General features: G+C 43.5%; 1 protein-coding gene across 10 annotated transcripts in view; it reads left to right on the top strand.

The window, feature by feature from the left end:
* The window catches only part of DRC11 (dynein regulatory complex subunit 11), a 200,792-nt gene that overhangs the window by 738 nt on the left and 175,540 nt on the right, over positions 1 to 24,514 (top strand). For 5 of the 10 annotated variants that reach the window (XR_007081589.1, XM_017004960.2, XM_011511866.2 and 2 more), the window contains exons 1-5: positions 3,045 to 3,108; positions 9,252 to 9,576; positions 12,852 to 12,971; positions 18,548 to 18,739; positions 19,839 to 19,910. Coding sequence is in view for 8 of the 10 variants with exons in the window: in XM_017004960.2 (XP_016860449.1) it covers positions 3,077 to 3,108; positions 9,252 to 9,576; positions 12,852 to 12,971; positions 18,548 to 18,739; positions 19,839 to 19,910 (741 nt within the window). In the remaining 2 variants the exon portion in view is untranslated. Of the gene's footprint in view, positions 1 to 3,044; positions 3,109 to 9,251; positions 9,577 to 12,851; positions 12,972 to 18,547; positions 18,740 to 19,838; positions 19,911 to 24,514 lie in introns of those variants that run through there. The other 5 variants (NR_073043.2, NM_001270584.2, XM_047445852.1 and 2 more) reach the window with 1 other exon arrangement.

Raw genomic sequence — 24,514 nt, 5'->3', positions numbered from 1 at the left:
TCATTTGGTCTTCGTAAGAATAATTTCCAACAGGTATTACAGCGCTGACCCTGTAGACACTGTTCTAACCGCTTCACAGCAACCCTGTAACGTAGGGGCTGTTAATATTGTTATTTCCATTTTACAGATGAGGGAACTTGGGGATGAAGAGGTGAAGTAGTTCACACAGCAAGTGAACAGTGCCAAGCCGGGCACTGTAGCTCCAGCCTGCACTGTTGCTATTACGTGCCCTGTATTCTAGGCAAGGAAATAAGAGCAGAGAGGTTAAAGGCTTGCCAGGGTTTGGAAATGGGGAAGATCAAGAGTTCTGTTTAAGACGTATTGAGTTGGAAGTGCCCATTGGACATCACGTGGAGATGAAATAGGCAATTAAAATATTCAGATCTTGGGTTCAGGAGCGAGACCCATGTCTGAAATATAAACTTGCTCACTGTCAGCCTGTGATGGTCTTTGTGAGACATAGAATGAATATTAATAAAGAGGTGTAAGGACTGATCCTGGGATCATCCACAGTAAGGCTGGGGGAAGAGGAGACCTGGCAAAGGAATCAAAGACATGATCCATGAGGAAGAAGCGAGTGGAAGAAATAATAGTGTTTCCAGGAGAAGTAACTTCTTTCTCCTCCATCAAGTGCTCCTGAGACAAGTTGGGGTAGAACTGAGAACTGACTGTTGATTTGGCAGTGTGGAGTTCACCAGTGACCTTGACAGGAGCTGATTCAGTGGTATGATGAGATAGAAAGACTTACTCAAGTGAATGTAGGGGGAGAGAAACTATAGATGGTGAGCATAGCTAACTCTTTAAAGGAGTTTTGCTGCAGAGGAAAGGAAATATGTTGGCAGCTAGAGGCAGAGGACATGGCTCCAAGACAGAAAACAATAGAATGTTTGTGTGTGGAAGGGAATGGCCCAGAATGATATAGGAGGAGGAGGGAGAAGTGGGTGACATCGTTGGTAGTGAGAGGACATGGGATCCAGGGGGTGCTGGCCTTAGGTAGAGGAACTCAGCACTTAACAATGGAACAGGTAGGAAGGCAGCATCAAGATGCTATTCAGTGGGTGGGTGCTCTGGAGGTGGCCTGGAACGATCATGGTAGATGGAAGATGATGGTGACTGAGGGGCAGTGGTGACAGCATCAGATGAAATGGGATTCAAAGCCTGGGAGTGTTGGGAGGAGGGAAGGCAAATGTCTGGAGGTGCAGTGAAGAGAAGGGGTCCCCTTGACCCAGCCCCACAGCCAGAGACAGAGGGCTCTGGGGGTAACAGGAGCCTCTACTGAGAGGGCTTCTGAGCAGAGACAGGCCTTCCGTAGAGCAAGAAGGCAGGGGGAGTATTTGGGGAAGAAGACAGCAAACTAGTTAAGATTGGAAGATTCAGAAGGTTTTATCTTGTGCAAAATAACTTGAAAAGAATTCCCATTGTGCAATATTTTGAGTTCCCACGGAAGTGCATATATTCAAGTGAATATTCAAGTGTTTCCCTCCCCTACCCACTCCGTTATAGGAAAACTGCCAAGCTGTAGAAATAACAGTCTGGTCTTTTTAACTGTCATATTCAGTCTTCATCCACAAGCCTCCTGACTTCAAAATCTGTCATATCTCTAAGTCATATGCTCAAGTCTGAAACCAATCATATACTTTCAAAAACTGTTAAGTAGTCTCATGGATAAAATATTACCTTCTGTTTGCAAAGTGCATTTAAAATTCCAGGAACACTTTCACACCTGTTGTTCCATCTGTATTAGTCTGTTCTCACACTGCTAATAAAGACATACCCGAGACTGGGTGATTTATAAAGGAAAGAGGTTTAATTGACTAACAGTTCTGCAGGACTGGGAAGTCCTTAGGAAACTTACAATCATGACAGCAGGTGAAGTCAAACATGCCCTTCTTCACATGGCGGCAGCAAGGAAAATTGCAGAGCAAAGTGGGGAGAAAAGCCCCTGATAAAATCGTCCGATCTCGTGAGAACTCACTATCATGAGAACAGCATGGAGGTAACTGTCCCCATGATTCAGTTACCTCCCACTGGGTCCCTCTTACAACACGTGGGGATTATGGAACTAAAATTTAAGATGAGATTTGGGTCGGGACACAGCCAAACCACATCACCATCCCACAGTAGTCCCTGGAGGTGTCCAGAGTTGGTCTCATCATCCAGGTTTGCCAGTGAAGGAGGCGTAAGCATGAAGAGATTGAGTGACCTCCAGGGATGAGCTGCTCAGGACACTGGTTTCTATTTTAAATGTAGAGCACTTTTACCTTTGAAAACCACCTTGCCCTACCCAGGGAAAATAAAGACATATTTCCACGCAGAAACTCGCACAGGAATGCTTCTAGCAGCATTACTCACAGCAGCAAAGAAGGCGGAAACAACCCAAGTGTCAATGGGCTGGCGAATGGATAAACAAAATGTGGTGTATCTGTACAAAGGAAACTTAGCAATAGAAAGAAATGAAGTACAAAGTATGCGACAGTGTGGATGAATTTTGAGGACACCGCACCGAGGGAAAGGAGCTCAGCACTGAACGCCCCCCCCCACCGCCGTGTAATTTCACTTCTGTGAAGTGTCCAGAATAGGCAAAAAGAGATGGAAATTAGGTTAGGGGTTGCCAAGGGCAGGGAGGAGTGGGGAATGGGGAGTGACTGCTTCACGGGTGTGGGTTTCTTTCCCAGTGATGAAAATGTTCTGGAGTTAGATAATGGTGGTAGTTGCACAACTATGCTGAAAACCACTGAATTGTACACTTGAAAAGAGTGAATTCTATGCTGTGTGAATTCTCTCTCATCAATGCTCTTATGAAAAATCATCTTGCCGCCTCTCTTGTCTCATTTGACCTTCATGGCTGGGCTCAAGCAGAAAGAGGCTTGAGGCTGCAGGGCGAGGAGGTGGGGCGCAAGGCCAGATGGGCTGAGCGCAAAGTGGGGGCTCCCCAGGCTGGCGTGGCCGAGGCATGGTGCCCAGGTCCCTGGCGGTCCAGTGTGGGAGGGGGTGTGGTCACGTGGAGAGGCATCAGGACAGCTGGGGAGCAGGAAGCCAGAGACAGTCTCGAGGGAAGAGGGTCTGGTGGAAGGAGATGACGCCGTCTCTCAGCGCTGAGGAAAACAGGTAATGATGCAGGGATCCGTGTGCTTTCAAAGCTGCTCATTTTCCTGTCAGCCGGGAATCTTTGCCTGGTCTCCCCCAGACAGGGATTCCCCAGACAGACTGCAGTTGGGGAAGAAAGAAATGGCAGGACCCGGAAGGCTCAAGCCACCAGGACTGTCTTTGACCAAAAATTCCAGTTATGGGTCAGCTCCGTGAGGCCCTGGAAAAGTCCTGCTTCTCTGACCCAACTGAAGCCAATGAGGGCTCTGACCTGGAGCGACTGGGCTCCCCTGGATGGTTCTGCCCACAGCAGGTCTAGACATCCAGAAAATCTGGCTGTGCTCTGCCCCATCAGGTCGGCTGTGGTTTCCCCCTGGTGGAAGCAGGAGCCTCTTCAACCCGAGATCTCTTGCTGTTGTTGACTTTGGGTCTTTGTGGGGTTCAGATCACCCCACCTGAACTTCACGGAGGCAGCCTCTTCAGGGTATTGTACAAACTTAATGCTTGTTGGTGTGGCCAATGTTGGAAGTATAAGATGCCTTTTAACTTTTACTGTCTGTTCCACTCCCATATTTAAAAGTTATTACTAGATTTATTTATAGTCTTTAGTCTATTGTTACTGAATTCTTGGCCATATTAAATCTGTATGTATGTCTTGAAAGTCTTCTGTCTTTATAGCTTTTCTTTTCTTTTTTTTGAGATGGAGTCTCGCTCTGTTTCCCAGGCTGGAGTGCAGTGGTGCAATCTCGGCTCACTGCAACCTCCGCCTCCCGGGTTCAAGTGAGTCTCCCATCTCAGCCTCTTGAGTAGCTGGGATTACAGGCGCATGCCACCACACCCGGCTAATTTTTGTGATTTTAGTAGAGACAGGGTTTGTCTCTTTAGACAGGAGCAGATAGTGACTTCTGCTTGCACTGATCTGTACCTAGCATTCTAGAATTTCCTTTAGCTAGATTTCATGTGGCTTCCACCATGTGAATTCTTAAATATTTATTGTTCTTTATTGGTGCTGTGAATGGGTTTCTGCTTTCATTTTTTTTCTCTGCATTAAAGTATTGCAATTTTGCTGTATTTTTTTTTTTTTTTTTTTTTTTTTTTTTTTTGCTGGAGTGCAGTGGTGAGATCTCGGCTCACTGCAACCTCTGCCTCCACATTCAAGCAATTCTCCTGTCTCAGCCTCCCAAATAGCTGGGATTACAGGCGCCTGCCACCATGCCCAGCTAATTTTTGTATTTTTAGTAGAGGTGGGTTTTCACCATGTTAGCCAGGCTGGTCTGGAACTCCTGACCTCAAATGATCCACCCACCTCAGTCACCCAGTGCTGGGATTACAGGCGTGAGCCACCACGCCTGGCCCTTGCTGTACTAATTGATGTATTTTTGTTACTGATTTCCTTGGATTTTGCAGTCATGCCATTTATAAGCAGTGGTGTTAAAAAATGGTTTATATTAATTACTTACGTATCCCCTTGTCCTTTTTTACTGCTAATTTTGGGGGCATATTTCTAGCATTTCTCCACTGAAGGTCCATTGGGTCACTGGTTTTTGGCACTTTGAAGAAGTCGTCATTCTTTTTTTGTTGGTGTGTGGGGAGGGCATTTTTAATCAGGCCTGTGCTGCAAGTTACAATTTACTGAGCATCTTCTTGGCATCTATGAAACAAGCTGGGGTTTTGCTGGACTGTTGCTGTCTGGAGTTATGCTTTCCTCTGTGTTGAACTGAAAAGCACTCCTGCAGTCAACCCTCCTGGGTTAGAGGGAACAATTCTTTTGATCTGGAGCTGCAGTCTGTTTTCTAAGTGGAGTTTCAGATCCGAGTTCTAAACAAAATTAGCCTGTCATTTTCCTCTTGAATGTTGTCCTGGCAGGTTTGGGCCCCAAATCCTATTAAGCTCACAAAGCAACTTGAGCATGGTTCTGTTTTATGTCAACAGTTGTCACACCTGTTAGTATGTCTAGCCTGTATCCTCACTCAGGCCAGTGAGCGCCTTGGGTTTACTGTCCCTTCTCGGGCCCTAGAAGTCTGGACTTTGGAAAACTCACACCATGCTGATCCTCTGTTCTTGATCGTTGTCCACAGCCAAACCATTCCCTTGATCATCTCAATCATCTTTGCTTCTTCCAGCCCCTCCTGCTTGTCTATTTGAGGTGGGACAAGCAGAATGTCAGAGGGTCCCAGGAACTTTGAACTGGCATGAGGTGTTGCTTTTGTTGTTGTTCTTTTGAGTGATGGTTGTTGTTGTTCCTGATCAGTGTAATTGTTTATTAGTCACTAATTCTGCCAGGAGTCAATGTGTGTTCTGTGTGATATGGTTTAGATTTGTGTCCCCACCCAACTCTCCTGTCAAACTGTCATCCCCAATGCTGGAGGCGGGGTCTGGTGGGAGGTGATTGGATCACGGAGGTGGATTTCCCCTTTTGTGCCATTCTCTTGATAGTGAGTTATCATGAGAACTGGTTGTTTAAAAGAGTGTGGCACCTCCCCACCTTCCTCTTGCTCCTGCTCCCGCCATGTGAGATGCCTGCTCCCACTTTGCCTCCACCATGAGTAAAAGCTCCCCGAGGCCACCCCAGACGCAGATGCTGCCATGCTTCCTGTACAGCCTGTGGAACCGTGAGCCAATTAAACCTCTTTTCTTTATAAATTACCCAGTCTTGCTGGGCGTGGTGGCTCACACCTGTAATCCCAGCACTTTGGGAGGCCGAGGTGGGCAGATCACTTGAGGTTGGGAGTTCGAGACCAGGCTGACCAACATGGAGAAACTCTGTCTCTACTAAAAATACAAAATTAGCTGGGCATGGTGGTGGATGCCTGCCCAGCTACTCGGGAGGCTGAGGCAGGAGAATCACTTGAGCCTGGGAGGCAGAGGTTGGAATGAGCTGAGATCGCACCACTGCACTCTAGCCTGGGCAACGAGAACGAAACTGCATCTCAAAATAAACAAATAAATAACCCAGTCTCAGGTATTTCTGTATAGCAATGCGAGAATGGACTAATACACTGTGCCAAGTGGAATCCTAATTTTCTGATAATAACCTTCTTTCTTATAATAAGCTGGTCTGGAAGAGTGCTCTTTCACTAGCAATAGTTTAAATATTGCTAAGTTTTGAGAAATCTGGCATTCGGACGTGCTGGGGATGGGATTCTAAAGGCAGAATTCAGTCTCCTGACTCAGTGGGGTGTTGGGGGGAAGAGTGTTGGTTTTTACGCTCAGTCTGTTTGCTTGTGATGTAATTACCTCTGTGTCACGGGACCCCTCCTTCCTCGTCTGCTTTCTCCCTGACAAACGGGAAGCGATGAAGTCAAGTGGTTTAGAGCATGAACTCTGGAGCCGGACTGCCTACATGTACGTCCTGCATTCAAACTCTGTGACTTTGGGCAGTAACTTCTCTTTGCCTCAGTTTTCTCATATATAAACTGGACTAATAATTATGCCTACCTCATAGGGTTGTTGTGAGGATTACACGAGTTATTACATGGAAACCACTTAGGACAGTGACTGACAGTATATAAATGTAAGCTGTTACCTTCGCCATCATCATCATCATCATCATCATCATCATCATCATCTGAACCCAAAAGTCTTGCAAACATCAAGATACGCTTTTACCTTTTCGCCAGAAAGGTGAAAAAAGCACATTTAATCAGTGCTTCAATAAATGATGCTTAGTTTGTAGGGAAGAATGGAGCATGTTTGAGGAATGGCAGATGGTGAGCCTGGGGCAGAGGATGCCTGGAGGGGCTGCTTAATAATGACTTGGGAATGTAGAAGAGAGAGTCCCAGTCAAACAGGGTGGTTAACCATGGATACTTATCTCCTCTTCCTCCTGAATTGCCTCCAAAATGGCAATAAAGGATTTTAAAGCTATGAACTCACAAGGACAAAGAAAACATTTGACAAGAGATACCAAGAAAATGCAGGAGGCCAGGCACAGTGGTTCACGTCTGTAATCCCAACACTTTGGGAGGCCAGGACAGGTGGATCACTTGAGGTCAGGAGTTCGAGACCAGCCTGGCCAGTGTGGTGAAACCCCCATCTCTACTAAAAATACAAAAATTAGCCTGAGGTGGTGGCACACGCCTGTAGTCCCAGCTACCCAGGAGGCTGAGGCAGGAGAATTGCTTGAACCCAGGAGGCGGAGGTTGCAGTGAGCCAAGATCGTGCCACTGCACTCTGGGCTGGGTGACAGAGTGAGACTGTCTAAAAAGAAAAAAAGAAAATGTGGGAAAGGGAGAGCAGGCATGGATGAGAGGGAATGGAGGAAGGGCAGAGAATGTGGGACCTGAAAGCCAGTGAGTGGGGCTGGGTGATCAAAAGCCAGCTGTTTCCCTGGGAAGCCAGGTGGGAGCCTGGTTCTTCTGGGACAGGGCTGAAATTGGAGGACTGCTTGCAGATCTGTATAGGCCACATTTAGGCCGCCAATCACTTGTACACCCCAGAGAGCAAGTGGCTAAGGCACTAGCCAACCAGGCAGAAAATGGCACATGCAGCCAACCTGGACTCAGGACGCCAGGCACAGGTAAGCACGGGAATGAGTGGCCTGGCTGACAGTAAACAAGAGGTGAGCCCCCTTGACCGGCTTGCTTCTCCTTCAGGGGATTAGGGCTGCCCCCTCCCCTTAGCATAGGGAAAGGCCTTACAGAGAGATACTGACATTTTTCGATTTCTCCTTCATCAATGATCAGGGCTCTCCACACCCACTTTCTACAGTGAAGCTCCTTCCCAGACACACTGACTTTCCAGTTCACTTTTCAGTCCTGGTTCTTGAATGTAAAAGCAGAATAAAAAAATCACCTGAAATTTGGTAGGGGAAGGTGGGAATCTCTACCATGAAGGTATTGGCTCTGGCAGGAAAAGCGGGGACACTCATGAGGGCCTAATAAAGGGACCAGTAACAAAGATGTGGACATAGTCTCGGGAAACCGGCAAAGGATGGGGCAGTATTCTGGGGCCAGCCACAGCAGAGCCACCACCACCTTAAGGCTTTGGTGGAAGGGCACACCCAGCCTTTGTTGCCTCGCCAGGGTGTGGACAAGAGGGTCATACTCCTCTGCTCTCTGGCTTCCTCTTTGTTCAGTCCACTAACTCAACTCACTGGAATGAGGGCAGAGAGCCCAGCTGGTGCATTCCAGAGAGCTCAGCCTCCCAGGCCACAGTCTGCACCTCACCTCACTCTTTTTTTTTTTTTTTAAGACAGTCTCGCTCTGTTGCCAGGCTAGAATGCAGCGGCATGATTTCGGGTCACTGCAAACTCCACCTCCCGGGTTCAAGTGATTCCCCTGCCTCAGCCTCCTGAGTAACTGGGACTACAGGCGGGCGCCACTATGCCTGGCTAATTTTTTTTTTTTTTTGTATTTTAGTAGAGACGGGGTTGGCCAGGGTGGTCTCGATCTCCTGACCTCGTGATCCACCTGCCTCGACCTCCCAAAGTGCTGGGATTACAGGCGAGAGCCACCACGCCTGGCCTGCACCTCACCACGCCCAGCCTGCACCTCATTTCTCACACTGTACATCATGGTTCTAAGATTCTTAGTGGTTGCCTTTTGCTGTACTTCATTCATTCATTTTTCACTGCTGTGTGATAGTCCATTGGTGTATATACTACAATTTATTTATCCACTCTCTTACTGGTGGACATTTATGTTATCTACAGGTTTTTACTATTATTTAAAAAATGCAAGTGATCATTCTTGATGCATATTTACAAGTTTCTCTAGGGTATAATTATTCATTCACAGGGTATGCACACGTTCAACTTAATAAGAAAATGCTACATTACTTTCCAAACTGGTTGTTCCAAAATATACTTCACCAGCTGTGTATATGGACAAATAAGTTAACTATTCTGGATATCAACTTTGTCATCTTTTAAATGGGTATAATAATAGTGGCTTTATGGGCCAAGTGAGGAACAACTTTATATCATTTAGACAAAATGCTTTTTAAACTATTTATTTGATGATAATAGTGGTGGTACATATTCAGAAATCAGAAGGACATCAGAACAGGATATAAATTGTCTATCAAGCCTTGCAACTATATAACTATATTCTTAGCTCACACTTGATTCTGTGTTATATTTTGCTATACCAGAGGCCCGATGTTTATGTTTTACCAAGTGATTTTTATTTACTGTATCATCTAAATTCTCTCTCTTCCCCCAGAATGTATAATAAGATGTGGCATCAGACCCAAGAAGCCCTCGGTGCTTTACTCGATAAAGAGCCTCAGAAGATGATTGAACCACAAAGAAATCAGGTTTTCATCTTTCAAACATTAGCCACCTTCTACGTAAAGTATGTGCAGATCTTTAGAAACCTAGAGAATGTCTACGACCAGTTCGTCCACCCCCAGAAACGAATACTGATCAGGAAAGTCCTGGACGGGGTGATGGGCCGCATCCTGGAGCTGAAGAACGAGATGGTGGAGCTGGAACTCACGGAGTTCCATTATTTCGATGATATCCTGCAGGATCTCAAGCTGGCCCCCGTAAGCACTCTGTTGTTTTCTTATTAGTTGCTTTTTTTTGTTATAAATAAGATATGTACCCGATATCTGTACACGATACTCTACAGACTTCCTGTCCGTGTTTACTAGTTGGTGTACGGAAAATCTAAACATTTGCCTTCAATTACACCATGCTGTCACGGACAAGGATTGGGCTCCCTTTCTTTCTGGTGCAGATGCATCTGCACACTTCTTGGCTGTGTTAGGCACTGTCGTGGCTGTGGTCTTACCTGACATCGTAGTGTCTGCCCAGGGCTGTTGGAATGCAGTGGGCCAGCCCTTTCATCAGCACCCTTGAAACACAGACCCTCCCAGCATCCAGTAGCAGCGCCCGCTCCTCTGTTTCCATGGAATCTCTCTGTAGCCTGTTGGTCACAGGTTCCCTATTGCCAAGTGGATGCATCTCCTCCTTACTTTGGGTCAGTGGTGACCCAGGGGAATGTATGGCTTACATGGCAGTGGGCCTCAGACATCAAAGGAGAGCTCATGTGCTTGCTCTCCCTCTTTCCCTCTGCTTCTCTTCCCTTCCTTCCCTCTCTCCCTGGAGCCCTTGCTGCTGGCGCCTGGCAACCACAGCCCCCTCCTGCGAGCATTCGGCCCCTGCTGCTGCCCTCCGACGTTCCTGCCGAGCACAGGGCCTCTCTTCTGACTCAGGCTGGCTGGGCTGCCGGGGCCACTGGCCACCTCCCCTCAGTGTCATGGTCCTGGGAGCTCACCTTCATTTTGAAAGGAACATTTCCTTGAAGTAAAATCGAAAGGAGAAAGTCTTTAATTTTCTACATGAGGGTTTCACGTTTCTTCTCCTTGAAAATATTTGGGCTTTTATAGAGGTACCTTTCTTTCTGAGATAGGCTTTCCTCACATTATTATTTTATCAGAATGGAGTAATGAGAATAACTGAAATGAATGAAAATGTTGATGATTATTCTAAAAGTTTTATGTTTATTGCATTCATCTATAAGAGCATGGGCCAATCACCAGATTTAATCTGGTGCACTTTACTCACTAAAGTGACAATATGAACAATTTAGGATAACTGTGAAACAAATAGTTATTAAATCATATTCCTAAATTTAATTAATGAATATTACATTTATTAGTTGAATTTCAAGAATAGGAAGTCATGCCCCTGTTGTTAAGGAATAGCGCATTTGGGGCTCTATGTGGCGGCTACTCCACGGCCTTGCCTTTCCTGCTGCATCAGCCAGGCCCCTCTGCTCCAGGGACATCATCTTCCTAAAGGACATGCCATTGTTGCCGTGGGGATGGGGCCACCAAGCACCAAGAGCAGTGACAAATGAGCAGATGGCATCCAGGAAGCCTTCGTGCAGAGGGCGGTCAACAGTGTTTCCTAGCAGTCCTAGAAATAGTGACTGAACCATGTGCTGTCACTGAATCCCACATGGTTGGTTGGGGTGGGCTGAAGGCATCTTCATTCTTGGCCACAACCCTGGTACTGACAAACACCCAGCTGGGTTCCTGCCCTTGGTTCCATGAGTTCCCCAAATCCTTCCTTAAACTGCCCCTTAGTCCGAAGACTATGTCTGTAACCTGCCATGTGAGGAACCTTTCCTAATGGGCCCACCTCATAGAGAGACATATATGGTGGGGAAGAGGCTTTCTCTACCACCAGAAGTTTCCTAGATTCCACTCCATAGGGAATGAGAAACCTCAAGGTTTCAGGGATGGACATGAAACGCATCATGGACATAGATGGAGCAACCAATATCTCTCTTTGCTTCTCTTCCATTCTCAGTTACTCTGTTTTCTCATCCTCAAAATCCTAACTATAATTTTTTTTTAGATGGAGTTTTGCTGTTCTTGCCCAGGCTGGAGTGCAATGGTGCAAGCTCAGCTCACTGCAACCTCCGCCTCCTGGGTTCAAGCAATTCTCCTGCCTCAGCCTCCCAAGTAGCTGGGATTACAGGTGCATGCCACCACACCCGGCTAATTTTTGTATTTTTAGTAGAGATGGGGTTTCACCATGTTGACCAGGCTGGTCTCGAACTCCTGACCTCAGGTGATCCACCTGCCTCAGCCTCCCCAAGTGCTGGGATTACAGGCATGAGCCACCACGCCTGCCTGCTAACTATAATTTTGTGGTACCAAATGGACCAGATGGAGCTATAAGACAATGAGGTTTTGTCTTCAAAGTTATAAAAGTACCACACTTGAATGTGCTTGTTAATAAATAAAATCACATTAAATCAAAGTGTCATCATTCTTCTCCTACTGCCCTCTCTCCTCAGGCCACACCCACCCACTAGACTCTGCTAGTTCACTCTCCCGTCACCCCCAGCACTCCATGAGCCTCAGAAAGGTTTGGTGTTCAAAAGACATTGTCACCTCCCAGAAGTCATGGGGATACTGTCCCACCAGGTCCTAAAAATGATACCCTCTTAGGCTTAAATGTTTACTTAGGGGAAGGCCTATCCAAAATTCTCTGGGCTGGAGGGAGGTTATGGGGAGTCACACCTAGAATTGGAAAAAAAAATAAGGTAGCCAATTCTGAAAACAAAGACCTTTGCTTTCCTGTCAAAACAGCCAGGCAGGTCTGACAGAAATTCTAGGATAATGTTTCTCAGTGGGATTGGCCAAGGGCATACCCATATCCTTAAATAGCACTTCTGTACTCCTTTTTACTCAATTTGAACTGATAAATTTTCATCTGAACCCCCACTGGTTTGAAATATTTGGTAACATGCACAAATGAAGGATAGAAGTTTATTATATAAAAACAAGTTTCACAATAAAGCAAACTACTTTTGTAAATAATTTTTGCAATGGGGTAATTTTGGTAAAAATAAAACCAAATTACTAGAAAAAAATGTGACTATTTACATACAAATAGTCGGTGCTAATGATAAATTATTAGGTTTAATTCAAAGATCTCTACAGCTTAATACTTTACTACTGCAATTTGAACCATTATTTTAGGTAAAACGAGGTAATATTGTATTTCTTTAAAGAAATCTATTAAGTAATCATTAGTTAATTGAGGCCTAATTGATGTGAACTCTTGATGCTTTTCTGTAATGATTAAAGCAAGGGGCATGGTTATGATTTTCTTTCTGACTTTGTGTCTCTTTAGTAAATGAATTCTCCTCACTCCGCTGGCCTCATTTTTTTTTTCTTAAATGAAAATGGGAAGTAAAGCAAGCGTCTTTGATGTGCACGTCCTTACTGTATATTTTAAATAAAGTTCTAGTCCTGGCATTGTGACGGAAATACTCTTTTTTATTCTTTCTCTTCTCTAGCAACAATTAGATATTCCCATACCCAAGTATTTTTTGAAGGAGAAGTTGGAAGTAATAAAAGGAAGAGAGAAAATTCTTGCTCAAATATTAGCGGACAGCGGAATAGATACATCTGACATGGTTTGTATATCATTTTAACAAACATTAATCCATAATCTGTGTAACTTCCTTTTTCTGCTGCTCCTAATTGTGTGAGCAACACTTAGATTATTTTCAGTTTAAGCAGAGAATGATCCCTCCCTCGTTATACAGTACATAAGAAGTTGCATAACTTTTGGATGTGCTTTTGGTGATATATAATCATTATTTTTCAAGAGCTTAGACACTGAGATCAAGAGCTTAGACACTGAGATATGCTACTTAAATCAGTATCTGTTGATTATCAACGCAGTTTAATGTTTCATCTCAAATTCATCTAGCTGAAGTCAGAAGCTAAATGTTGTTCATGTAAAATAATTAAGTGCTGACATAACTTACTAGGAACTTGAAAGTTACTACACTTTCTAAAAATGCTGATTGGCCTTTTATAATTGCAGGTTGAGTAGATATGGTTTGACTATGTCCCCACCCAAATCTCATCTTGAACTGTAGCTCCCACAATTCCCATGTGTTGTGGGAGGAACCTGGTGGGAGGTAATTGAATCATGGAGGTGGGTCTTTCCTGTGCCGTTCTTGTGATAGTGAATAAATCTCACAAGATCTGATGGTTTTATAAAGGGGAGTTTCCCTGCACAAACTGTCTTGTCTGCCGCCATATGAGATGTGCCTTTCACCTTCTGCCATGATTGTGAGGCCTCCCTAGCCACATGGAACTGTGAGTCCATTAAACCTCTTTCTTTTGTAAATTGCCCAGTCTCAGGTAAGTCTTTATCAGCAGTGTGAAAACGGACTAATACATTGAGTGACACTTGGATCACCTTGAATGGACTGTCATTGGGGGAAGAATAATCCATAAAGATCCCTCCTGGGAAGCAAGGAACAGAATCCATTTAGTTCTGTGCCCCGATACCTCCTTTGTCCACAGGATTTGTGCAGCTGCATCTTTTTCCTGTTTCCACAGCTGTCTTAGCCTGACTCTCATGACCACCTCCTGGATTCTTGCAGTCATCCCCCATGCAGCCTACTGGTGGGGAGTCTTCTTCCCACCCTTTCCACAGGGCACTGCCCTATCTACCTTCTGGCAGGATGGCAGATCTGCCTATACATTTCAGTAACTTACTGCCTCACCCTTCTGGCTGGCCTTCATGTCCTAAGCTGTAAGGCAGCACTTGTCCATTCAAGCTGGGACACTCCAGGGTGAAAGGGGCACTATGAGTAACTATGCTGAGGCTGCAACTGCAGGCCAGGGTCCCAGGGTAAACCAGCACCTGCAGTCTTTCTACAAATAGCCCTCATTGGGTATTGCCAGCCTGGGTGATGGTGTTAAGGAAGATTCCAAGTGTATGCTGAGGATGGCAGGAGAAAAAAGTGCCCTGTGTGCCTGCCTCAGAAGAGAGGTGAAATGCATGCCCTGTATTTGCCAGCCCAGTGCTGTCTCTCATTTCCCATAGGCATGTTCCCTGCTGGATAGAGGGCTTGTTCTTCTCCCTTACATACCTGCTCATCAAAATGGTACCCATTCTGCGGAGCCTAACTTGATACACCATCCTTCAAGAAACCTTTCCTGACATACTGGCTTAGTCCATTTTGTGCTGGTATAACAGAATACCACAGACTGGGTAATTTAAAGACAACAGAAGTTTATTTTGCTTATGGTTCTGGAGGCTTGGAAGTCCAGTATTGAGGAGTTGCATCTGGTAAGGGCCTTCTTGCAGTGTCATAACATGGCAGAAGGAATCACATAGTAAGAGAGCAAGAAGTAAGGCGGTGAGCTCATCCTTTTAGCAGGAAGCTATTCCCCCGATAACAGTATTAATTCATTTTGAGGACAGAGGCCTCATGACCTTATCACCTCTTAAAAGTCCCACATCCCAACACTGTTGCATTGGGGACTAAGTTTCTAGCACATGAAGTTTGTGGGACACGTTTAAACCATAGCACCCATTTAACTCAAGATGACCTCTCCTTCCTGTGCCCCTGCTCCCAGCTACTGGCCCTTCTTTTACATTATGAATTCCTTGAAGTCCATTCCAAAGCCAACTTACTTGGGGGTCAACTAGCCATCCTTTCACCACTGGGCTCCTATGTCTGTGCTTTCTGTCCATGCATCAGTCAGAGCGAAGCACTCACACTTCATTCCCTGAAAGGAATCCCTTTGCACCAAGCAGTGATGAGCACTGCAGAATTACTAAAGATTTTGTGTTGGAAAATGGAGAAGGGAGATTACGTTGCACTCACTACAGTGAAATCCTAAAAATTCCTCTTTGCCATTTGTCCTGCTCACTGTTCCTCTTCATTTGTTCTCAGTCAGAGCAGACAGGCTTCTGTGTTCCTTCAGCATCCAGCTTTGGCCAGCCCCTATCACCTCCACTGGGTTAAGTACTTCATCTCCACCCCAGTCTCATTTCACATGTGCCAGGGGCTCAGAAAACCACAAGGACTTCCCTGCTGCGACTTCCCCATGGCCTTTGGTGTCTCATAAGACCCCTTTCTTTAAGCTGCTTATATACTGTGTGTATATATATATATATATATATATATACTGTGTATATATATATATATATATATACTGTGTGTATATATATATATATATATATATACTGTGTGTATATATATATATATATATATACTGTGTGTATATATATACTGTATATATATATATATACACACTGTATATATATACACACACACACAGAGTATATATTCTTCTTGGGGTATATACTGTGTGTATATATATATATACTGTATATATATATACACACATATATATACACATATATACACACAATATATTCTTGGGGTATATACTGTATATATATACACATATATACACACATATATATACACACTCATATATATACACATATATATACACACACACACACAATATATTCTTCTTGGGATACGTACTGTATATAAGCAGCTTAAAGGGGTCTTATGAGACATGTATATATGTGTATATGTATATATATACACACACACGCATGCAGACACACACACAATATATATAACCCAAGAAGAATTTTGATGCATGAAAATTATTGTCCATCTCCTACATTAATATCCACTGTGGGCCTCCTTAAATGCTTAAAAATGTTTGACATGTTGAGTTCCCTACTCAAAATCCCTTAGAATTATTTGATAATGGCCACGACTATTTTCAGAATGACAGCCCGGAATCTAAAGGAAAGAAATACGATACTAACTCATGTTTGCTGGGTACTGTATGCTAAGTTCATCATCTCATTTAATGCCAGAATGATACTCGTTCTACTCTAACTTGACAAGTGCATTATTGAAAATGTGTGCTCACTGCAAATTTGAAGCGGTGAAATCTTACTGAAAACAAACTCAGAGGGATTGTTATGTGAAAGAGCTTCCTCATAAGCAATCATATTCCTTGTGCCATGTTGAAGGGTAGTGGGTTGCTTAGTGGAAAGACGGTCAGTCTGTTCAAATTGGCTCCTTCTCTTCTTACCCACGGGGCCTTGCATAAGTTACCTTACTTCTTTGATCCTCAGTTGTCTTCACTCTTAAGTGGTCACAGTAACACCAGCCTTGGAGTTTGCTCTTGTGAATGTGATGAGCATGCATAAAAAAAGCATCTGACATCTGCAGGTTCTCAGTATACATGTGCCTTTCCTCTCCTTCTCACTCCTTCCTGTGCCCCTGACCCTGGCCTTGTTGCACAGAAGAGGGATCATCCTGGCAGCAGTGGCCCTGGTGGCAGCGCCCCACACATGAAGCCTCAGCACCTTCACATTGTCCTACTGTGGCAACCATTGCTGCCCTCTGAGGCCTGGAAACAGGCTTCACCTATGCTTTGGTGCTTTTCTTTTTAAATTTATTTTTAAATTCTTTTTAGAGACAGAATCTCACTCTGTTGCCCAAGCCACAATGCAGTGGCATGATCATAGCTTATTGTAGCCTCCAATTTCTGGGCTCAAGTGATCCTCTCGCCCCAGCTTCCCAAGTGGCTGGGACTGCAGGTGTGTCCCACAACACTCCACTAATTTAAAAAAAATTTTTTTAGAGACGGGGTCTCACCGCTTTGCCCAGCCTGGTCTTAAAATTCCTGGACTCAAGTAATCCTCCCACCTCGGCATCCCAAAGTGCTGGGATTACAGGTGTGAGCCACTGTGCCTGGCCTCTTTGGTGCTTTTCTGACTCCAGTGATCTGTCCCTTCTGCTTCCATCCATGCATGGACACCCCCCAAGCCAGGCCACATGAGCCCCTGTTCCCTTGCTCTGGGGCCTCTGGAACAGCACTGGGGCCTCCCATTGAGCCTGCTCAGAGTTCACACAGGCCTCAGCTGCACCCGGAGCCCACATAGGCCCCAGCATGCACCCAGAGCCCACACAGGCCCCAGCATGCACCCAGAGCCCACACAGGCCTCACCTGCACCCAGAGCCCACACAGGCCCCAGCATGTACCCGGAGCCCACACAGGCCCCAGCATGCACCCAGAGCCCACACAGGCCCCAGCATGCACCCAGAGCCCACACAGGCCCCAGTATGCACCCAGAGCCCACACAGGCCTCACCTGCACCCGGAGCCCACACAGGCCTCACCTGCACCCGGAGCTCATACAGGCCCCAGCATACACCCAGAGCCCACACAGGCCCCAGCATGCACCCGGAGCCCATAAAGGCCCCAGCATGCACCCAGAGCCCACACAGGCCTCACCTGCACCCAGAGCCCACACAGGCCCCAGCATGCACCCGGAGCCCATAAAGGCCTCAGCATGCACCCGGAGCTCACACAGGCCTCACCTGCACCCAGAGCCCACACAGGCCCCAGCATGCACCCGGAGCCCACACAGGTCCCAGCATGTACCTGGAGCCCACACAGGCCTCACCTGCACCCAGAGCCCACACAGGCCCCAGCATGCACCCGGAGCCCTTTGTTCTTGTCCCTCTTTCCTCAAAAAATGACACAGCCCCTCGCCTAACTTTGTCTCCACATACACCATGTGAGATCTCCCAAAACAACATTTTACTTACCAGCCCTGATTTTTCTGTTTTACTAGTACTCATCATGTTTGAATGTTTTAAGATGCAAGTTTATAGACACTGGAAGACTTTTCATATATAAAATTAAATGCCCCCAAAATGATTTCGATATTAGTTGTATTCACTGGGCATTCTGTACTTGATTTTAAGATCAGCATTTTACTTCATATATATTTTAAATTTTAAAAGCTCATATTAGAGGTAGGTTTTTCATTTCTCTGTTTCTCCTATTAAGTTAATGAAATATTGATAGCAATTTCAAGTTTTACTGAATCAATTTTATTGACATTTTTAGTATAATTTGCTGCCAACCTAAAATATCGTGGAGCTAATTAGTATTTTGTTCAGAAGGATAAAGGAAAGTCAGGGGGCCCTTAAATTTGGGATCACAGCATGAGCATGTCATGTTATCAAAATATACATCATTCACTGGAAAAATGAACAGTGTTCAGCGGTTCTCACACTCATGATCAGCCGTGGGGACCCTTAGCAGGATTGTGTTTGAAGTAAGCATGTGATGTGTCTGGGATCAATTGATGTGGTTAACATGTTCAAACATTGGTTTATCTTGACTGTTTTTTGCAGAAATACCCTGTAAAGAGTATCCCTTTCGATGAGGCTGTTAAATTAATCCAGATTGCTGAGAGGGCACGGCAAGGTCGCCTAAGGGCTTTATTCATGAAGCAAATCTATCTGCAAGAATATAGAGCAAAGCAATCCAAGATGCTTGGCAAGAAAGTGACAGATACCTGGGCTGCTGCACTCCGCATTCAGAAGGTGCAAACCTAGGGCTCCTGGAGTTGGGGTACAAGGTGCCTTATACACTAAAGATACATCTCAATTTTGGGGCTGAGCTTCAAAACTCAAACACCAAATCCTACCCTTAATAGAACTAGATTACATTCCAGAAAGATTTATTAACTTACCCTGGGGAAACCATTAACTAAGCTTGGTCATATTTTCAAATTTTTACTCTAAATAGGTACTAAACTCAGGGCATTTTATTCAAATATTGTTAAAGACCATTGGTAATTGTTGAAATGAATGTTGCTGAAATGCAGTGAGGATATAAATCCTTAATGGATTTTTGGAATACATTCACACACAGATATATAATTACAGAAGAGGGACCAGGCCTTAATAGATTCCAGAAACATGCAGCAGCCATCACTAATAACCAGCACATCAGTGTCCCTTCTAGAAGGAATCCGTAAGGTTTTCTTTCCTTATCAGATAAGCACCATGGATTTGTGCCCCATTTTTTTTTTCAAATAGAGGCTAGGGTTACTTACAGGGAAACACAGCAGATGGCAAGGTGATATAAACTAGCATTAGGTTTCAGAGAAAATAAGTATAAGGACATAAAATTAGGCCAGAAGATGAGGACTCTGTCCCTAATTTTCCCTGAATAGGAATAGGAGAAGGTGATGGGGAAGGATGGATAAGAGTCTGTTTTCTTTCGGGTTTCTGTGGGAATATAAAGTTGTAGCATCTGAGTTAAAAGCTTGAGTTGTACATTTCTTGGAGGTTACTATATTTCCCCACATTACTTTGGAAATTTTTCCTTTAAAACCATGAAGTGCCGTCCTTAGATCTAGCCTCACATTCCTGCTACCTAGAATGTTCCTCTTGAAGAAACCAAGGTAAAGGAATCTCACTAATAACAATTATAGGTTAGTTCTGTGGTTCATTCTTTTTAACAATGTTTTTGCCTGTGATCACAGAAGAAAAAATATTCCATCAGCACACACATGGACAGCCTAGAGCTTAGGATTAGTTGGCATTTTGAGATGTGCAGTTTATATGGGAGAAACTGCAAGCCATGTTTTCTTTATATTTGTATGTATTAAACAAGTAACCATTTATTTGTTTTTAGGTTTGGCGACGTTTCCATCAACGTAAGGAAACTGAAAAACTGAGAGAAGAGGAGATGATCTTCCTGGGTATGGTAAGTTTTTTTTAAGAGATAGCATCTGGTTTTCTTAAAGACAATAGAATATGTGAGACTGTGTCTTCTTCTGAGAGTTTTTGAGGGAAGAAAGAAAGAAAAATAAATGATTTAATGGAATGGAGTCACCCATATGGTACAGAAGCCTGCCCAGGGAGATCTGAAGAGATCAGGGTTATATCCATTTATACATTTCTGTGCAAGATGCAGAATGCTGTAGATGTGGAAACAGGCTAGGAGCCGTCACAATCTGCTATTCCTGTCTGATGTCAGCAGTGCACACCACTATATTAGGATGGGCGGTCACAACAGTGGGTTTGCATTGATACAGCTGGCTTTTTTTTTTTTCTGGTGCTGGTGATTACTGAATCATAGAGATGGAAAGGTGGATTAGGTGGATTAGTTATCTATTGTCACATAACAATGTTACCACAAACTTAGTAGCTTAAAACACCAATTTGTTGTCTCACAGTTTCTCAGGGCCAGGAATCTGGGTACACCTTAACTAGGTCCTCCCCTCCAGATCTCACAAGGCTGCAGTCAAGGTGTCAGCCAGGGCTGAGGTCTCAACTGAGGATCAACTGCGGAAGGGCCTGCTTGCAAGCTTGTGTGGTTGCTGGCAGGATTCTGTTCCCTGTAGGGCATCAGATCCTGGGCCACAGTTCATGCCAGCTGTTAGCTGTAGGCAGCCCCCAGCTCCATGCCATGTGTGCTTCTCCATATGGCAGCTGGCTTCGTCTAAGCCAGCAGGGAGAGGGGGGCTGCTCAGAATCTTATGCAAATGATCACAGAAGTGGCATCCCATCACCTTTGCCCTATCATATTGGTTAGAAGCAAGTTATAGGGGCCACCCACACTCAAGGGGAAGGTATTACATGAGGGAAGAAGACCAGGAGGCGGGGTCACTGGGACCATCTTAGAGTCTGTCTGCTGCTAGAGATGTTTCTGCATGCTTTGCCTCATCGAGTGCATGGCCTCTGAGGAAGGCTGACTCCTCTGCCCGAGCCCCTCCTGAAAACAGAACCTCTGCCTCCCACAGGAGCCCATTCTCTTTCATTGAACTGCAATTGGCCTTCCTGCAGATCCCACTGCCAGGCTGGGCTCTGTCCCTGCAGTAGCTTGGAATGTGTCCTCTTTCCCTTTCATGTGACAATCCCTTAAGCACTTGGAGGCAGCTCTCAAACCCCCTGAAGCCAATTCTTTGCAAAGCTCATTATGACCAGAGAAGGGGACCAGTCAGTCCTAGTGGGGCTTTGTTGACCTGCTCAGTTTTCATTAAAGGACATTGTAATTTTAAAAAGAAAAGAAACAAAGCCCTTTGGGGCCTCATTCCAGCATTGACCTAAGGTGTATTCTGGTGAGCTACTTGGCTTGATACCCCCATCCAGTGCCCAGGTAAAAATGTTGAAACAGGAACATTGATAAATACAATGACTCAGTCTTTGAAAACGCTAATAACATACAGAGCCCTGGTGAGGCTAATCAAGAAAAGAAGAAAATACAAATGTATGACAAATATGTATGTATGTGTATATGTATATTTACAAACACATGATGTATATTATATATATATACATACATATATATGACATATATATATGTAGTCATATACACAGTATACAGTGACCACAGGCACTAGCAGGTTAAAAACTATTAGGTGATGTCATGAACAACTGTGGTCATAAAATAGAAAATATTGAAGAGAGAAAACTGTCTAGGGAAGTATGAATAGTGAAACTGACCAAAGGAGAAGAAACCTTAATAAAACAACCATGTAGCAAATGCTGAAAAGATTTTCAAAGTCCTTCTGTTAGTTTGGGTCCTGTGAGAGCATGCATGGAATTAGGCATGCAAGAGATTTAGTAGGAGAATGTCTGTAAAGAATAAAGGGAGGGCCCCAAATAAGGCAGGAAGAACCCTCAGATCACGACGCAGGTCGGGAAGGAGGCACCAAGGAATGGGGGCTGAGAAGGGGGAGTTTCCGCCTACAGCACAGTGCCCATAAGGAAACTTAAATCGCTTTTAAAAATCCATGCTAACGAAAGAAAAGAGACCCAGTAAGGATGAGACTCAGTTTGGGCAGGGACCCAAGGGCAAGTACAGTCTCAGGGACTGCTACTGAGGGTTTCATTGCCCGCCTTTCTAAGTTCAGTTTGTCTCATGACAAACACACCTTTTTTCCCAGTAGTGCCAACCCTTGGAATTTCTTTGCTACAAAAAAAAAAAAAGCCAAGAATATGAGCAAAGTATACAATATACAGATATTCATATTAGTATAGCTTTAGAGTTGTAAGAAATTGGTGCCCATAAATAATTAGTTAAAATATCCTATTATGTATCTTTAGAAGTGATGTTTTAGAGTTTCTACATATTTTGTGAAATGTAAAATATGAACACCATGATTGTTTTTTAATTTTTGCTTAGCTTACATCTTTCTGCAATAAACATGTGTTTTATGTCTAAAAAATTACAGATAAAATGCATGTTCAAAATTATGTCAGAGGGGGAAAAGACATGAATCATGACTTAAATAATTTGTAGCTTTTAAAATTGTACCTTCATCAAATAATAGTCAATTTGAAATACATTTTGCCAATTCTGTGTACTTAACAAATATATATGTCAGGTAGGACAAAAATCGGGATTCTTTTCTGTCTATTTATAAAAGCAGACACAGTAGAAATGTCAGAGAATAACATAAGAAGTAAAACAAATACGACATTTTAACCAATGTGAGGATATGGTTTTCTTTTTAATCTTCTTTTTAGGTTTAAGTGTTAATTTCTAATACTGCCTTCCTCTTTTCACTTTCAGGGAAAATAAATAAAGTGGTCACCACTATGTGGTTGATACTTTAAATCCTTTTGTTCTATGATCAACCATAAACCTAACCATTTAAGCCATATTTTAATTAAGTCTTCTTGTATAAATATTCAGTTTTCTTTTTGGGGATTTTAGGATTTAAAATAAATTAAAAGGTTTTGCCAGTGGTATTAAGTATAACTAAAATATAATTTAGTTCAATTTTCAGGATATTGCCATGTAATATTCATCAGTTTTATAATGGCACATTCTAAATGACACGGCAAGTTCGTTTAGTTTTAGAATAGTTTACATTTTACCCTGGCCCCTCATCCTGCATTGCTTCATCTGCAGTCATGGCCTCTCCACACAGCCTTTGTTGTTCACCATAATTATTTTGCTTGAGGAAAGAATTCAAGTCCATGTTCCAGAAACTTGGAACTGCCTAGTTTCCTGGTGGAAGGGCATGGTCTTACCATATCTGTGTTTGTAAACTCTCAAGTTGTGATATCCAAGCTTACTGCCTTAAAAAACATAAGAAATAACACCAGAAGAGCAGATATGATTTCAAAAATATCTTGATTTTATCACCTACATTCTTAATTTCTGTTTGATCTTTGTGTTTCAAAAATAAGCCAACATTTGTTTTTGGAAATTGGAACCCCTTGGGACCCAGCCTGTCCTTTGCTTTTTAGTTGTTTAGGTGTGCTGTCAGAATCCAATGGGTCAGCAATTTCTGCAAGTTGTTATAAATTTTTATGATTTAGAAATTCACTGGGTGGAATATTATTCAGCTATAAAAGAGAAGGAAATTCTGACACGTGCTGCAACATGCATAAACCTGAAGGACATTATGCTAAGTGAAATAAGCTAGTCACAAAAAGACAAATACTGTATGATTTCACCTATATGCACTATCTAAAGTAGTCAAACTCATGAGGGCAGAAAGTAGGTGGTGGTTGTCAGGGACTGGGGGAAGGAGAAAAGGGGAGTTGTTGCTTAATGGGTACAGAGTTTCCATTTTCAAGATGAAAAAGTTCTAGAGATCTGTTGCCCAATAATGTGATTATAGTTAACACTACTTAATGGCACACTGAAAAATAGTTAGACTGGTATGTTTTATATTATGTTCTTTTACCACAGTTAAATTTGTTTTAAAAAGTTCACTCGCACATTGAAATGGTTCTGTATAAATCATGGCTCTTAGCTAGTGGTCAAAAATACAAAATAAAAATTACATGAGATTCTACTGTAATTTCATTGAATCTTTAAGATATCATCAATTGTAAGATGCATCATTATTTTTAGGTGCCATTAAGAAAAAAAAGTGCTGCCAAATAAGCCAAAACACAACCTTGAGTGTAATACACACCCATCCCTAATTTCAGATATGCTAAACTATGAAAAATGTACATCTTAGAATTAGTGAAATGGGGTAAGTGGTGTCTGTCTTATTAGCAAAATATTAAAAGTTTTTAAAATTATAATTATTGACAAGGTAGTGATGAGATGCTCATTCTTAACACAAGGAGTTAAATGGACTCAGCCTTTCTGAAAGCCAGTTGGCAAGTTGCCACAGGATAGTTAAGATATTTATATTCTTCATCCTTAAGTTATATTTCTGTTTTAAGATACTCACCAAAAATAGAGATGTGTGTGCATAGAAGTTCCTGACAGTGTTCTTTTTAATAGCGAAAAAATTGGGAATAACTTATTTTAGTATTCTTACAGTATGTATCTAGTTAAATAATTACAATGTTAAATAATGTATGATGTCCCTGTATAATGTAGTGATATGCCAG

The sequence above is a fragment of the Homo sapiens genome, chromosome 2 (genome assembly GCF_000001405.40).
Source record: "Homo sapiens chromosome 2, GRCh38.p14 Primary Assembly".
Taxonomy (NCBI): Eukaryota; Metazoa; Chordata; class Mammalia; order Primates; family Hominidae; genus Homo; species Homo sapiens.
The sequence above is the reverse complement of the archived record's forward strand: the minus strand, read 5'-3'. Positions and strand labels throughout refer to the sequence as shown.